At 43.6% G+C, this 17355-nt stretch overlaps 3 annotated features.

Annotated features, from left to right (window-relative positions):
• Positions 14552-15378: an enhancer, noted in NCBI's record as "NANOG-H3K27ac-H3K4me1 hESC enhancer chr1:244979664-244980490 (GRCh37/hg19 assembly coordinates)". NCBI's record gives its function as "activates a minimal SCP1, AML or CMV promoter by ChIP-STARR-seq in primed H9 embryonic stem cells {active_cell/tissue: H9 hESC(primed)}" and the evidence as "EXISTENCE:reporter gene assay evidence [ECO:0000049][PMID:30033119]".
• Positions 15379-16205: an enhancer, noted in NCBI's record as "OCT4-NANOG-H3K27ac-H3K4me1 hESC enhancer chr1:244978837-244979663 (GRCh37/hg19 assembly coordinates)". NCBI's record gives its function as "activates a minimal SCP1, AML or CMV promoter by ChIP-STARR-seq in naive H9 embryonic stem cells {active_cell/tissue: H9 hESC(naive)}" and the evidence as "EXISTENCE:reporter gene assay evidence [ECO:0000049][PMID:30033119]".
• Positions 16589-16688: an enhancer, noted in NCBI's record as "active region_2844". NCBI's record gives its function as "activates an Ori minimal core promoter by ATAC-STARR-seq in GM12878 lymphoblastoid cells {active_cell/tissue: GM12878}" and the evidence as "EXISTENCE:reporter gene assay evidence [ECO:0000049][PMID:35858748]".

Genomic DNA, 17355 nt, shown 5'->3' with positions numbered 1-17355 from the left:
TTCGAGACCAGCCTGGGCAACAAACGAGACTCCTCCCAACACCCATCTCTGTCAAAAAAAAACAAAAAACAAAAAACAAAAAAAAAACAAAAAAAAAAACCAAAAAAAAAAACAAAATTAGCTGGGCTCAGTGGCATGTGCCTGTAATCCCAGCTTTTGGGGAGTTTTGGGGGTAGCTGAGGCAGGAGGAAGCATTGCTTGAGTCCAGGAGCTTGAGGATGCAGTGAGCTATGATTGTGCCACTGCACTCCAGCTTGGGCGACAGAGCAAGACCCTGTCTCTAAGCTGAATCTCATGGGGGCGGAAATGGTATCTTATTGCTTTAAACTTTTCCTGATTGCTACTGTGGTTGAGCATTCTTCCAAATGTTTATTGACCGTTCTTTCTCTAAGAATTAACTTTGTATAGCTTTTGTGTGTTTAAAAATTTGGGGACAGCACTTTGGGAAGCCAACGTGGGCAGATCACATGAGGTCAGGAGTTTGAGACCAGCCTGGCCAACATGGCGAAACCCCGTCTCTACTAAAAATACAAAAATCAGCCAGGTATGGTAGTGTGCACCTGCAGTCCCAGCTACTCGGGAGGCTGAGGCAGGAGAATTGCTTGAACCCAGGAGGCGGAGGTTGCAGTAAGTCGACTGTGCCATTACACTCCAGCCTGGGCGACAAAGTGAGACTCTGTCTCAAAATAAATAAATAAAATTGGTTGTGTATGTGATTTTCGTGTTAAAGTAGCTCTTTACAAGCATAGTTTTTAGTCCTTATATATGTAACGAATATTTTCTGCATGTTCACTTATTTGTTGTTTTTGTTTATGGGGTCTTTTATTTCTCAAACGTTTTAACTCTTTTTTTCTTGCAGAGTCAAATATGTCAATATTTCCTTTTATGGTGCTTGATCTTGTGTCTTGCCTAAGTAGGCATTCTTGACTCATAATGAAAACATACTTTCATGATTTTGAAAATAATTCTATACTCCCTTTCTCATTCATAATTTTGAATATTTTTTCTTCTAAAAAGACCAACTTTTGGTTTTACTATTTTTTATTTCATTTTCTATTTTACATTTTAAAAAATTTACCTGATCTATTCTATTGTCTTTTTTTAGCTTTTTGAATTGACTACTTCATTCACTTTTTCTCCGTCTTTTTTGGTTTCTAATGAATGTCGTTATGACTATAAAATTCCCTCTGAGAATCATTTTATTGTTCATTATATCAGATTGTCATAGAGGTAATGTTCCTGTTAATCTTTCCTAAATTTTGTATAATTTCAGCTTTTATTTCACAAGTGAATATGATTGGATATGCTTTTGTTGTTCATTTCTATTTTTTGTCTTATTATGTCTTATACTGTGGCCTGTTTATTTCTACTTTTGGGGGTTTATTGATTGTATGTGGGGTGTGTGTGTGGTCTTACCTAAGAGATATCATTTCTGGCCTGGCATGGTGGCTCATGCCTGTAATCCTAGCACTTTGGGAGGCTGAGGCAGGTGGATCACTTGAGGTCAGGAGTTCAAAACCAGCGTGGCCAACGTGGTGAAACCCCGTCTCTACTAAAAATACAAAAAAATTAGCCGGGCATGGTGGCGCATGCCTGTAGTCCCAGCTACTCGGGAGGCTGAGGCAGGAGACTTGCTTGAACCCGTGAGGTGGAGGTTGCAGTGAGCCAAGATCGCACCACTGCACTCCAGCCTGGGCAACAGAGTGAGACTCCGTATCAAAAAAAAAAAAAAAGATATCGTTTTGTTCCTGTTACATGGGGATTTGGAAAGAATGTGCATTCTCTATAATAGCATTAAACCAAGCTTATCAATTGTAATATGTTGTATATTATCGTTATATATAAGTATGTAAAATATAATAGCATTCGGTCAAGCTTATCATTCAGCCATATTTGTATTGTAATGGTTTTTCATTGCAAGCAACAGACTCTGACTCTAGTTATCACGAACAAGAAGAAAAGGTCTTCCCTCTGTTGGGAAGATGTGGAGAAACTTACCGAATTGAAGAGAAAGCCGAAGAACCAGGTCTGGAAAGGGACAGCATTCAGGACACGTCTGGCAAGAACAAAATGAGTGGCTCTTCAGGATTCCCTGCTAGGAATCATGGCCGTGGCCTCTCCAGTCTGACGCCTTATATTGTGCTTTGTGTTTTTATCATGTTGTCTTGTGAGACTGACTCCCTGTGTGTCTGGCGGTCGATACAAGTTATGATTCCAGGCCGGGCGCGGTGGCTTACGCCAGTAATCCCAGCCCTTTGGGAGGCCGAGGTGGGCGGATCGCCTGAGGTCAGGAGTTCAAGACCAGCTTGGCCAGCATGGTAAAACCCTGTCTCTACTAAAAGGACAAAAATTAGCCGGGCGTGGTGGCGCGTTTGTAATCGCAGCTGCTCGGGAGGCCGAGACAGGAGAATCGCTTGAACTTGGGAGGTGGAGGTTGCAGTGAGCAGAGATCACGCCACCGCATTCCAGCCTGGGCGACAGAGTGAGATTCTGTCTCAAAAAAGAAAAGTAATGATTCTAGAAGCCGGGAGTGAGGTGGCCATTTAGCTTAGTGGCAGAGCAGAACCTCTGATTGATTGATTGATTGATTGATTGATTGATTTATTAAGGCAGAGCTTCACTCTCGTTGCCCGGGCTGGAGTGCAGCAGCGCAATCTCGGCTCGTGATCTTGGCTCACCACAACCTCCACCTCCCAGGTTCAAGGGATTCTCCTGCCGCAGCCTCCCAAGTAGCTGGGATTACAGGCATGTGCCACCACGCCTGGCTAATTTTTGTATTTTTAGTCCAGATGGGGTTTCACCACGTTAGTCAAGCTGGTGTCGAACTCCTGACCTCAGGCAATCCACAGGGCCCGGCCTCCCAAAGTGCTGGGATCGCAGGCGTGAGTCACCGCGCCCAGTGAAAACTGTTCTCTTAAAGGGGTGCCTTCCCTCCGGTGGCTGTCAGTCCCCTGGGACCCCGCCCGGAGTTTCCGCTTTCATTCCCTCCTGTGGGAGGAAGTGCAGTGTCAGGAATCGCATCCTAGAGGTGCGGTTATCTGCAGGCTACAGGATGGGCTGAAGGGAAACAGGGACGTCACTTTAGGGGTTTGGGATGGGGGCTTTGCTGGCAAAACTTACTTTTTGAGGTTCTCTCTTTGGCTTGTCTGGGGTTGTTTTTAATATGTTGGGATTAGAAATCAATGTGATTCCAAGTGTCTTGTACTCAGAAAATTTTAACTGTCTTGGTTTGCTGCTGCTGCATTCTCCTGGCTTCCCAGCAGTTACCAGCTTATTTATATATATAAATTTATATAAATAATAAATATATACATATACAAGTTTATATATAATCAATAACAAATATATATATTTATATATATTTTTTCTTTTTTTCTTTTTGAGACAGGTCTTGCTCTGTTGCCCAGGCTGGAGTGCAGTGGTGGGATCTCGGCTCACTGCAAACTTTGCCTCCCGGGCTCAGGTGATCCTCCCACCTCAGCCTTCTGAGTAGCTGGGACTACAGGTGCCTGCCACCATGCCCAGCCTAGAGAAGGGTTTTGTCTTGTTGCCCAGACTGGTCTCGAACTGCTGAGCTCAAGTGATCCACATGCCTCGCCCTCCTAAAGTGCTAGGATTATAGGCGTCAGTCACCGTGCCAGGCCTTTTATATTCTTTCTGTCATTTCAATAGGTTTTGGAGGAAAGAGTGATAAAAGTTTGTGTTCAGTCTTCTATAACCAGAAGTCTGCCTCAGTAGTATTTGTGTATGTGAGTACTCACATGAGTGTGTGCATATGTGTAAGTCTAATAGTACTACAGGGCTTGTAAAGAAAACCAGCTGGCCGGGCATGGTGGCTCATACCTGTAACTCCAGCACTTTGGGAGGCCAAGGAGGGTGGATTACTTAAGGCCAGGAGTGCGAGACCAGCTTGGCTGACATGGTGAAACCCCGTCTCTACTAAAAATACAAAAATTAGCCAGGCGTGGTGGAATATGCCTGTAGTCCCAGCTACTCGGGAGGCTGAGGCAGGAGACTCACTTGAACCTGGGAGGTGGAGGTTATAGTGAGCCAAGATCACGCCACTGCACTCCAGCCTGGATGACAGAGCGAGACTCCGTCTCAAAAAAAAAAAAAAAAAAAAAAAGCCAGCTCTTTTCTTTCTGCACATTTCTCTCTACGCTGGAGTTCTGCACCCTGCAGGTAATAACTTTGGTCTCTTTTGGCCCTTTCTTCTGCCAGTTTACCTTCTTATTTCTAAATAAAATGTTCATTCTGCTATTTCTTGATTTTTTTCATTTGAGGTGTTATCTATTGATAATGAATATTTAGCTCCATTTTCTGCACCCTTCTCTACCCTCATCCTCTCAGTGTGGTTACATCACATTTTAAAAAAGTTAAAACCGCCGGGCGCAGTGGCTAGTGCCTGTAATCCCAGCACTTTGGGAGGCCGAGGTGGGCGGATCACGAGGTCAGGAGTTTGAGACCGACCTGTCCAACATGGTGAAACCCTGTCTCTACTGAAAATACAAAAATTAGCCGGTCGTGGTGGCAGGCACCTGTAATCCCAGCTACTTGGGAGGCTGAGGCAGGAGAATCGCTTGAGCCTGGGAGGCAGAGGTTGCAGTGAGCCAAGATTGTGCCACTGCACTCCAGCCTGGGCAACAAGAGCAAGACTCCATCTCAAAAATAAATAAATAAATAAATAAAATAAATTTAAAAAAAAAGTTAAACCAGCATTCAGTGTGTGCATTGTCGTGATGGTGTAAGTATTGCTCATAGCTGAGCCATGCATAGTACTATGATTTCATTGCTTATAAAACTTTTTATTGTTCCTGGAGTTAATAACTGTTTTGTTTATTTGCTGAATTTTGTTGAAGCCAACTCTTACTGGCCCTTGAGAGCCGATTGTGGACATCCTTTGCCAACTCTGCGTGCAAATGTTGGTAGTTTGAAATCAGCTACGGTGGAAGTATTTATGCCACAGAAATCAAACAATGCTACAAATCAGGGCCTCTTGTTTTTTGGGCTTTTTGTTGTTATTTTTCAGAGAGGTGGTTTACCAATACACCACTGAACATACCTATCCATTTTTCCCTGGAAATTCTCCTACAGAGTTATAAAACTCTCCACAATATGGCCAAATGTATCACATGATCCACCTGTCAGTACTTTTTTTTCTTGGAAACATCACCCCTGGAGTTTTTTTTTTGTTTTTTTTTTTTTCGAGACAGAGTCTCTCTGTGTCGTCCAGGCTGGAGTGCAATGGCATGATCTCAGGCCACTTCAACCTCCACCTCCCGGGCTCAAGAGATTCTCCTGCCTCAGCCTCCCGAGTAGCTGGGATTATAGGCGTGAGCCACCACGACTGGCCTCCCCTGGAGTTTTTGTCTTCCTGCTCCAGTCAATGATGGCTGCTTTCTAAGACTAGTTCCCACTTGTTGTCCTGGAGGGTCTTGTAAACTCATGCTGAACCACCTGCTCCTCCATTCCACATCATTCTTTTCTTGGCTTACTCCTTCATTTTGGAGAAGAGTATCCTTCAGCAACTTCCTGGAAGTTACTGAAGAGAACTTTTTGCAGAGAAGGTATATATTTTAAGATCTCATATGCCCACAATATTTTTGCTCCTTTCAACTTCAATACCTGGTTAAAATTGCATTTCTACAATTATTCTCCACCAGAATGATTATCCCTCCTAGATATAAAGCAGTCTCCTACATAACCATAATGCTGTTATCACAACTAAGAAAACTAGCAATAATTCCAGAATACCATCTAGCATATAGTACATATTCAGAGTTCCCCAAGTGTTCAAAGAAATTTTCCCAATTGTCTAAGCTTTTGTTGTTTTCAGACATGCTGCTGCCTATGGTTGCTATATCTCTGGGTTTCCTTAGTCTAGGACAATCTCCCCATCTTATTTTTTTTATGACATTGATTTTTTAGGAAGTCTAAGGCGATTGTTTTGTAAAATGTCCCACATTCTGGATTGTCTCTTGGTGTCATTTAACTTGTCTGTCTACTATCCCTTTCTTTCCTCTAAACTGGAAGTTCAGTCTAGGGCTGCCTAATCCAGTATCATAGCCACAAGCCTCATGTAGCTCTGGAGCCCTTGCAATGTGGTGAATACAGCTGAGGAACTGAATTTAAATTTCATTTCATCTTTGTTAAGTTGAATTTAAACTGAAAAACTGATACTCAATTCAGTGATAGGAAAAATGTATGTGTGGAACAACTTGGAGCTAGTTTTTCAATTGCAAATTTTATGAAATCTAAATACAGATCAAGTATTTCCAATGAAGATTTAGCATCTGAATTGAAATGTACTTAAAGTGTAAAAACACATGCTGAAAATACATGACTCAGTACAAAAAAGAATATAAAATATTAATTTTAAAATATGGATTACATGTTAAAATCGTAATATTTCGGATATACTGGGTTAGCTAAAGTATGTTTTTAAACTAATTTCACCCCGGGCTTTTCTCTTTTGTTTTTACTTTCCAAATGCAGTTACCAGAAAATTTTGAATTACATAAGTGGCTTACATATATTTGTATTGACATGTGCTGGTCTAGGAGCCTGATTCAATTTAGGTTAAACATTTTGGGCAAAAATACTTCTAGACGATGTGGATTTCAAATTTTATCACATTGGAAGGCACATACGTCAGATTGTGCTACCATTAGCGACGCTAACTTTGATCACTGGGTTAAGATGGAGACTGCCAGAACTTGCCATTGTAAAGATACGCTTCTCGCTTTCAATTAAAAACCCATGCAAATATCCTGTTACCAAAAATCTGTTCACCTAATGGTTTTAGCACTTTGTGAGTATCCTTGACGGAATCAGCGATTACACTGGAGTTAGCAAATGTTGACCTTATTCTGTCAATCCATTTATTAGCTAGCATTCGTCTGTGAAGCACTCCCGCCTCCCTTTTCATATACATGTATCTTTATATGAAATATTTATTTAATGGGTTTCAATTAATTATGGTTATTCTTTTTGAAGCCCACATCCTTTCCTTGAACATTCCCTGGCCATTTCTTCAAGGAACTCTTGTTTGTTTCAGTGGGGATTAAGTTGCTTCTTAAAGCCCCTTGAGATGAATTTTTTTTAAGTATAAGAAGAACACTGAGGCCGGGCACGGTGGCTCACACCTGTAATCCCAGCACTTTGGAAGGCTGAGGCTGGTGGATCACTGGAGGTCAGGAGTTCAAGACTGGCCTGGCCAACATGGTAAAACCCTGTCTCCGCTAAAAATACAAAAATTAGCCGGGCATGGTGGTGGGCACTTGTAATCCCAGCTACTTGGGAGCCTGAGGCAGGAGAATTGCTTGAACCTGAGAGGCGGACGCTGTAGTAAGCCAAGATCATGCCAGTGCATTCCAGCCTGGGTGACAGAGCGAGACTCCATCTCAAAAACAAACAAAACAAAAGAAAAAACCATTGATACAATTTTATTAAAGATAATGCTTTGTATATACATGTCAGTTCCATCTACATTGCTGATCATAGAATGAAAGCATTGCACCTTGTTTTTGAGCCATTATTTTCTTTAAATGCATATTAAAGCTATATCTTGGCTGGCCTTAGGTTTCATATCTGCAAAACTGAGATTATAATACATCTCTGAAAATGAGGACAAGAAATAGAATATGCAGAGTTCTGGGCTCATTCTTGTTGCTGTGTCCCTGGAGACCCAAGCTGGGCAAGCCTCTGCTCCTCATCATTATCATCATCATCTCCCCAATTCCCAGTTCTTTATTATTATTATTATTTTAAAATTTCAGTTGTCTCTGACAGAAAGACCCTGTCTCCAAAAAAAAAAAAAAAAAAGCGGTACATTCCATGGCTGTATGAGGGTCCTTAGAGTCAATCTTTTCTGAAATATATCCATATGAATTTGAGATTAGTTATCTTGAAGTGCATAGAAATTACTCATATTCCTAATACATTTATTAAGCACTGATGAAGGGATACTTATTACCCTTTTTTTTTTTTTTTTTTGAGGCAGTGTCTCGCTCTGTTGCCCAGGCTGGAGTGCTGTGGTGTGATCTCGGCTCACTGCAATCTCCACCTCCTGGGCTCAAGCGATCCTCCCACCTCAGCCTCCCGAGTAGCTGGGATTACAGGCGTGCACCACCACACCCACCCAGATAATTTTTGTATTTTTAGTAGAGATGGGGTTTCACTATGTTGGCCAGGCTGGTCTCAAACTCCTGACCTCAGGTGATCTGCCCGCCTTGGCCTCCAAAGTGCTGGGATTACAGGCTGAGACACCTCACCCAGCCCAGAATACTTACTAACTTTTTAACGTATCAATATTTAAGGACTTTGACATAACTCCTTTTGCAAATTTTAGAATTATTTTTTCCCACCTAAACCAATATACATTTACATTTGGGTTGTACATGCATATAAAAACATGCACATTTTACTGGGCTTTATACCACTGTTTGAGATGGCAGGTAGTGAGTGACACGGAGGGGCTGGGGGCTGGGGGACCTCTTGCCAGCACCTTGAACCCACAGTTGCACCTCAACTCTCTCCAGCTCTGCCACCTTGAGCCAGTCACTGGACCTCAATTTCCTCCTCTATAAAAGGAGGTATTAGTGTCTCTCCCTCACAGTGTAACGTTGAATCAAAGATGTTAAGAGATTTGCTTAAGGTTACGCAATTATGCAATTAGTATGGATATCAGACTGTTTTTTGTTTGTTTGTTTCTTTTCATTTGAGAAAGAGTCTCGCTGTATCACCCAGGCTGCAGCGCAGTGGCGTGATCTCGGCTCACTGCAACCTCTGCCTCCGGGCTCAAGTGATTCTCCTGGCTCAGCCTCCCGAGTAGCTGGGATTACAGGCGCCCGCTACCACACCTGGCTAATTTGTGTATATTTAGTAGAGACGGGCTTCACCATGTTGACCAGGCTGGTCTTGAACTTCTGACCTCAGGTGATCCAACCTCCTTGGCCTCCCAAAGTGCTGGGATTACAGGCGTGAGCCACCGCGCCTGGCCCTAAGTGGACGCTTTCTTTCCAGCAATCCTTTGTGGAACTTCTGTTTTGCATTTAGAATGGGAAAATCGTGTTTGTATTTGAAGGCGAATTTTCAAAGGCACAAGATGTTAAGTCCTAACCCTGAGAACTGTTTCATGGGCAGCAATATCAGCTAATTAAATTTGAAAAAAGGAAAGACAAAAGGAGAAAAAAGTTAAAAATAATAGCATACAGTTAGGGAGCCATTGAACTTCTGTGCAAACTTATTTGGATTTTGTTTGGTTAGTTGGTTGTTTTTGTTTTTGTTTTTGTTTTTTAGACAGAGTCTCACTCTGTCACCAGGCTGGAGTGCAGTGGTGTGATCTCAGCTCACTGCAACCTCCGCCTCCTGAGTTCAAGCGATTCTCCTGCCTCAGCCTCCCAAGTAGCTGGGATTATGGGCGCCCGCCACCATGCACAGCTAATTTTTGTATATTTAGTAGAGACAGGGTTTCACCACGTTGGCCAGGGTGGTCTCGATCTCTTGACCTCATGATCCACCCGCCTCGACCTCCCAAAGTGTTGGAATTACAGGTGTCAGCCACCGCACCTGGCCTGTTTGTTTGTTTTTTGAGACGGAGTCTCGCTCTGTCGCCCAGGCTAGAGTGCAGTGGCATGATCTCGGCTCACTGCAGTCTCCACCTCCCAGGTTCAGGCGATTCTTTTGTCTCAGACTCCCAGGTTGCTGGTATTACAGGCACCCACCACCACGCCTGGCTCATTTTTATATTTTTAGTAGAGATGGGGTTTCACCATGTTGGCCAGGCTGGTCTCAAACTCCTGACCTCAAATGATCCGCCTGCCTTGGCCTCCCAAAGTGCTGGGATTACAGACATGAGCCACCACGCTCAGCCCCTTAATTAATTTTATTTATTTTTATTTTTTAAGACAGAGTCTTGCTCTGTTGCCCAGGCTGGAGTGCAGTGGTGCGATCTCGGCTCACTGCAACCTCTGCCTCCTGGGTTCAAGAGATTCTCCCACTGTTACTGGAAAGGGGTCCCAATCCAGACCCCAAGAGAGGGTTCTTGGATCTTGGGCAAGAAGTAATTCAGGGCGAGTCCATAGAGTAAAGTGAAAGCAAGTTTATTAGGAAAGTAGAGGAATAAAGAATGGCTACTCCACAGACAGAGCCGCCCGAGGGTTGCGGGTCGCCCATTTTTATGGTTATTTCTTGATGATATGCTAAACAAGGGGTGGATTATTCATGCCTCTCCTTTTTAGACTATATAGGGTAACTTCCTGACGTCGCCATGGCATTTGTAAACTGTCATGGTGCTGGTGGGAGTGTAGCAGTGAGGAAAACCAGAGGTCACTTTCATCACTATCTTGGTTTTGGTAGGATTTGGCCGGCTCCTTTACTGCAACCTGTTTTATCAGCAAGGTCTTTATCAGCTGTATCTTGTGCTGACCTCCTATTTCATCCTGTGACTCAGGATGCCTAACTACCTGGGAATGTAGCCCAGTACATTTCAGTCTTACTTTACCCAGCCCCTACTCAAGAGGGAATTGCTCTGGTTCAAATGCCTCTGACATTTCCCCCCTCCCTTTTATAAGAGAATCCTTAATCCTAAGAGTTGCAGAGGGACAAAGATCCATCTTCTGCAACTTCTTCAGGCTGAATAGGGGCAATTATATTACTGCCCAACTACTGGGTCTTTTGCATTCAGGGTAGAGAGGAGCTCAGTCAGAAAGCATCCATATGGTGAGGGCCATTCATAACTCTTGAATTCCGACAGAAGGTGATATCATAAGTGTTAAATTTAAGAAAACGTTGAGTAAACTTATCCTCATTTTTACACAAAGAGTACAACAACAATATATTCCACAAGAGTAAAGCAAAATAAGTAAAATTATTCCAAGTAAACTAAATTAGAAGGCTTCCCATCAACTGGGCAACTGTTGGAACTAAGCTGATACGGGGTTGTTAGCAATTCCAATGCATGCCCAGAATTAGAATACTGATCCAGATTTTTACATTACCCATCCCTTTTTTTTTTTTTTTGAGCTGCAGCCAGAGATCACTGGTTGGTTCACAGGAATAAGCAGGGTTAGCCTAAATTACAGAAACAAACTTAAAAACAACTCATGAGACTAGAATCTAATAACAGGTGTATTATAGTTCTTGAAATATAATTTTTCTCTCTCCAGTTTCTCATTTTTACTAAATACAAATCATGGTAAGGCCGATTTACTTTATTGTATTTGGTCTGATTATTTGTATAAAATGCAGCAAGAATAATTATTTTTCACAAAAGGTGTTTTTAAATTGGCTTTGATGGAACTCTGTTCCACAGAAGGAATCTTAGATAAGACTTTTTCAGAGCCGAGCCCTGCCATGGGTTTGTATCCTCAAATACCTGTGGGATGAGTACATTCCTCCCATCTTGGGATCCCAGATAACTTGGGGCTCCTGGGCCTGTTGGAAAGTGACATTCTTTACTTCCCATGGGTCAGAAACCCTGTACAGGGACTGTGTGGGCAAGGTATGAGGCCTGTTTTCCCAAGGGGCTTTTATTGGCTCTGTAAGTCAAGTTTAATTCCTTAAAGGAAAAACACACCATTCCGGTTAAAGCCTTGGTAAAATAACCAGCTTTTCCACTTGTGTCCGGTTACAAAAGAAAAATTATTGTTGCAATTAGGCAAATAACTATATTGCCATAAGTTAAGAATACTCTCTAGTTTGCAAATTCTGGAGAAAGCAGGTACAGAGAAACAAATATGCTCCAAAGTTTGTTCATAGGAGTATATTTTACTCAATTGTTAAAAAATGCAGGCCAGACGCGGTGGCTCACACCTGTAATCCCAGCACTTTGGGAGGCCGAGGTGGGCAGATCACGAGGTCAGGAGATCGAGACCATCCTGGCTAACACAGTGAAACCCCGTCTCTACTAAAAATACAAAAAATTAGCCAGGCATGGTGGTGGGTGCCTGTAGTCCCAGCTACTCGGGAGGCTGAGGCAGGAGAATGGTGTGAACCCCGGGAGGTGGAGTTTGCAGTGAGCCGAGATCACGCCACTGCACTCCAGCTGGGGCGACAGAGCAAGACTCCGTCTCAAAAAAAAAAGAAAAAAATGCAAATAGCTCAAAAGAAAAGTTTTCTTGACTCTGAAAAGCAAAACAAAGGATCAATAATATTTTAAGCAAAGTCAAAAAGATGACTTCAGAATTACTGACTTGAGCTGCTGCAGTTATCTCCTGCTGTGTTTGATATTCACGGACATTCCAGTTCTCTGTGAGAGTTCTGAAAGTTTTTTCCTCTATTTTAATATCACAATTTCCAAAGTTATCAGAAACCTGCATTTAAGAATACCTGTTAGAGTTCTCTAGTTGATTATAAACCACCTTTTAAAGAGTATTAAGACAACAATTGTCTGTGGATGGCAAAATGTCTTAGGACAGCCACAGTCAAAAACATGATTGACAAAGGATGTTTTTCTTTGGCCTGATTATTTGTATAAAGTGCAGCAAGAATAACTATTTTTCACATAAGCTTTTTTTTTTTGCTTTTTTTTTGAGATGGAGTCTCGCTCTGTCGCCCTGGCTGGAGTGCAGTGGTGCTATCTCAGCTCACTGCAAGCTTTGCCTCCCGGGTTGACGCCATTCTCCCGCCTCAGCCTCCCAAGTAGCTGGGACTACAGGCGCCCGCCACCACGTCTGGCTAATTTTATTGTATTTTTAGTACAGATGGGGTTTCACTGTGTTTGCCAGGATGGTCTCGATCTCCTGACCTTAAGATCTGCCTGCCTCGGCCTCCCAAAGTGCTGGGATTACAGGCGTGAGCCACCACGCCTGGCCCACATAAGCTGTTTTTAAATTGGCTTTGATGGAACTCTGTTCCATAGAAGAAATCTTAGATAAGACTTTGGTTTTTTGGTTACCTCTGTGGCATACAATGATTTTCTGTAACAATTATAATTATTAATAACATATACTAAGTCATATCAGAATTATAGGAATTTCCTATTATTTTGGAACATATGCCAATAACACATTTATACAAATACAGCCCAAAGAAAAGCAAACACCGTTTCATATTTGACAATGTTTCCTGTATGAGTTTTGTACCAAATAAGCCGAATTTCACCTTTACATTAGTGTACTATTAATGTTAAACCCAATTCTTTTTTTTTCCCCTTTTTGAGACAGAGTCTGGCTCTGTTGCCCAGGCTGGAGTGCAGTGGTGCAATCTTGGCTCACTGCAACCTCCACCTCCTAGGTTCAAGCGTTTCTCTTGCCTCAGCCTCCCGAGTAACTGGGATTACAGGCACGTGCCACCGTGCCCAGCTAATTTTTTGTATTTTTAGTAGAGATGGGGTTTCACCATGTTGGCCAGGCTGGTCTTGAACTCCTGACCTCAAGTGATCCTCCCGCCTTGGCTTCTCAAAGTGTTGGGATTACAGGCGTGATTCACTGCACCCAGCCAAACCCAATTCTTAATAAAACCCTATAGACACATTTACCCAATTTTAATGTTTGACCCTAAGGTAAGATTCTCATAAACTTTTTATAACCCTTTACAATTTTTGTTAAAGAGCAGATCATAAGCAGATTTTTGCTTCAGGAAAAACCTGTTGTGTTTTTTTCCAATGTTTAATTTATGCAAAAACTGAATAATACCCAACTTTAGCCAATATGTTCATACACAGCAAGGTAGGTAAACTGAACAATTTCCAAAAGTCAAAGAAGCAGTTTATAACCTCAAAGCATTTAGCAAACATCTGACCTGCATAAGTTAGACCAAATATTTACATTTTTGAAGATATTTTTATTTTACCAATAATCTTTAAAACTGTTTCCCAAAGATTACTTAAGTCACATGAACTAAAAGGCATTATACTTTATACTTTTCTGTCAAAATATTTGATTTAAGCACTTGTTTTTAAGCCAATCAACCCAAGCTCTTTTATATGTAAACGTCACACACACGACACACATAAATACGCAGACAGACAGAAGATAAAGGACTCATTCCTCAAGCCAGGAATTGGACCCTGAACCCAGGCTGCCACTGTGGAAAGAGAAAGCACAGCCACATGGTTACAAGGTCGAGCTCCCAAGGACATACAAGACAAGAAGGGAACCTCATCCAGTTTTTTTCAGGGACCTGCAGCAAAGTTTTTGTTTGTTTGTTTGTTTTGAGACGGAATCCCACTCTGTCGCCCAGGCTGGAGTGCAGCGGCGTGATCTCGGCTCACTGCAACCTCCATCTCCTGAATTCAAGCGGTTCTCCTGCCTCAGCCTCCTGAGTAGCTGGGATTACAGGCGCTCACCACCACGCCCAGCTAATTTTTGTATTTTTAGTAGAGACGGAGTTTCACCATGTTGGTCAGGCTGGTCTCGAACTCCTGACCTTGTGATTTGCCCGCCTCAGCCTCCCAAAGTGCTGGGATTACAGGCGTGAGCCACCGCACCCGGCCGAAGTTTTTAACTGACCAGTGTGCTGGGCCGTCTCTGAACAGCGGGCTTATAGGTGTCCTAGGCCCTCATTCTGTCCTAAGATACTCCTCTCCATCACAGAACACAGAAAGACAGGCAAAGCACACCAGATTCACTACAGTTTAAGATTAGCCTCGCAAATCCTTTCTTCCATTCATCAAAACTTCATAGAGGAGATAAACAGTGATTTTTACCATTTAACCCATTTGCACAGAGAGAGAGGAATGCATTGCCTGAGGCAGGGTGGGGAAGGTGAGGAAGGTGAGGAAGGTGAGGTGCTCGGGGAGGCCAGAGAAAGACCCACCCATTGCAGTGACACTGAAAAGTCCAGGCGGCTGCTTGTCGGTCGTGAAGGGATCTTTTCCAGAAGTCCCATCAGCTCTCAAGTTTCCCCTTTTAGGGAGAAAAAAGCTCCCTATGTCCCACGATCCTGTACACGCTTAATGCTGTCACCCACAGCCATCAGCAAAGAGTGCAAGGCAGATTAATCTAAAGAGAACAGCAGTTAACATCCCATAGTGCCAAACCCGTTCTTAGCTGAAAGGGACTTTACTGAGAGGGGCCTCTAACCCCCTAAATCTTGGAAGGGACTCCAACCCTCCTAAGTTGGGCTTCTAACCCAAGGTCGGTCAAGCGTCCTTGCCTTTTGTTTTTTTTTTGTTTTTTGGAGGCCGAATTTTGCTTTTGTTGCCCAGGCTGGAGTGCAGTGGTGCAATCTCGGCTCACTGCAACTTCTGCTTCCTGGGTTCAAGCGATTCTCCTGCCTCCTGAGTAGCTGGAATTACAGGCACCTGCCACCACGCCCGGCTAATTTTTTGTATTTTTAGTAGAGACGGGGTTTCACCGTGTCCTTGCCTTTTATTAAGAGGGGCCTCTATCCCACTCTGTCTTAGGAGAGACTCTAATTCCCCTAAATTGGGCCTCTAATCCCATCCCACCCTTTACCAGAGTACTCCACCACTTACCCAAAGTCGGCCAATCAGTGCTCCAGTCTATTTCCTTTGGGTCGGGGGTTTCTTCAGTATCGTCCCTTCCATGATTTGCCAGAAAGATGTTACTGAACCCCATCACTTACCCAAAGTTAGCCTTTGGTTTTTTGTTGTTGTTGTTTGTTGTTGTTGTTTTTGAGACAGAGTCTTGCTCTGTCGCTCAGGCTGGAGTGCAGTGGTGCGATCTCAGCTCACTGCAACCTCTGTCGCTGGGGTTCAAGCGATTCTCCTGCCTCAGCCTCCTGAGTAGCTGGGATTACAGGTGCGTGCCACCACACCGGGCTCAAAGTTAGCCTTTGGGTCGGGTGTTTCCACACTATAGTCTCTTCCGTGATCACCAGAAAGATGTTACTGAAAAGCGGTCCCGACCCAGACCCCAAGAGAGGGTTCTTTGATCTCGTGCAACAAATAATTCAGGGCAAGTCTGTAAAGTGAAAGCAAGTTTATCAGGAAAAGTAAAGGAATAAAAGAATGGCTACTCCAGAGAGAGAGCAGCCGCGAGGGCTGCGGGTTGCCCATTGTCATTGTTATTTCTTGATGATATGCTAAACGAGGGGTGGATTATTCATGCTTCCCCTTTTTAGACCACAGAGGGTAACTTCCTGATGTTGCCGTGGCATTTGTAAACTGTCTTGGAGCTAACAGGAGTGTAGCAGTGAGGACGACCAGAGGTCACTCTCATGGCCATCTTGGGTTCGGTGGGATTTGGCCGGCTTCTTACTGCAACTTGTTTTATCAGCAAGGTCTTTATGACCTGTATCTTTTTTTTTTTTTTTTTTGAGACAGAGTCTTGCTCTGTCACCCAGGCTGGAGTGCAGTGGTGGGATGTCGGCTCACTGCAACCTCCGCCTCCAGGGTTCAAGCAATTATCCTGCCTCAGCCTCCTGAGTAGCTGGGACTACAGGCGCGACCACCACACCCAGCTAATTTTTTGCATTTTAGTAGAGACAGGGTTTCACCATGTTGGTCAGGCTGGTCTCGAACTCCCAACCTCAGGTGATCCGCTTGCCTTGGCCTCCCAAAGTGCTGGGATTACAGGTGTGAGCCACTGCGCCCGGCCAGCATATGACTTGTATTTTTTGCCAACCTCCTATCTCATCCTGTGACTTAGAATGCCTAACAGGCTGGGGATGCAGCCCAGTAGGTCTCAGCCTCATTTTACGCAGCCCCTATTCAAGATGCAGTTGCTCTGGTTCAAACACCTCTGACACCACCTCCGCCTCCTGGGTAGCTGGGACCACAGGCGCGCCACCACGCCTGGCTAATTTTTGTATTTTTAGTAGAGACAGGGTTTCCCCATGTTGTCCAGGCTGGTCTCAAACTCCTGGCCTCAAGTGAAATGCCTGTGTCGGCCTCACAAACTGCCAGGATTACAGATGTGAGCCACTGCACCCGGTCACCTATAAAAATTTATAATCCAGCCCATGGAAGATCTGCCCCTCCCTCAAAAAGAAAGTTTTTCACTGAGTGTAGCTACAGTTTTCTCCGGTGGGTTTCACTCACTCATTTCATTCATTTACTTAAAGATGTATTTTAGAGCTGGGCACAATGGCTCATGCCTGTGTGAAGGGAAAATACATCTCGTGGTCCCAAAATGACTAAGCTAAAGGGAAAAGTCAAGCAGGGCAACCTGCCCCCTATTCTATTCAAAGTCACCCCTCTGCTCACTGAGATAGATGCATATCTGATTGCCTCCTTTGGAGAGGCTCATCAGAAACTCAGAAGAATGCAACTGTTTGTCTCCCATCTACTGTGACTTGAAGCCCCTCCTTGCTTGGAGTTGTCCCGCTTTGTCCAGCCTTTCCAGACTGAACCGATGTTCATCTTACACATATTGATTGAGGTCTCATGTCTCCTAAAATGTAGAAAACCAAACTCTCCCCCTACCACCTTGGCCACACGGTGTCAGG

This window comes from Homo sapiens, chromosome 1 (genome assembly GCF_000001405.40).
Source record: "Homo sapiens chromosome 1, GRCh38.p14 Primary Assembly".
Classification (NCBI taxonomy): Eukaryota; Metazoa; Chordata; class Mammalia; order Primates; family Hominidae; genus Homo; species Homo sapiens.
This window is presented reverse-complemented; position numbering and strand designations above follow the sequence as displayed.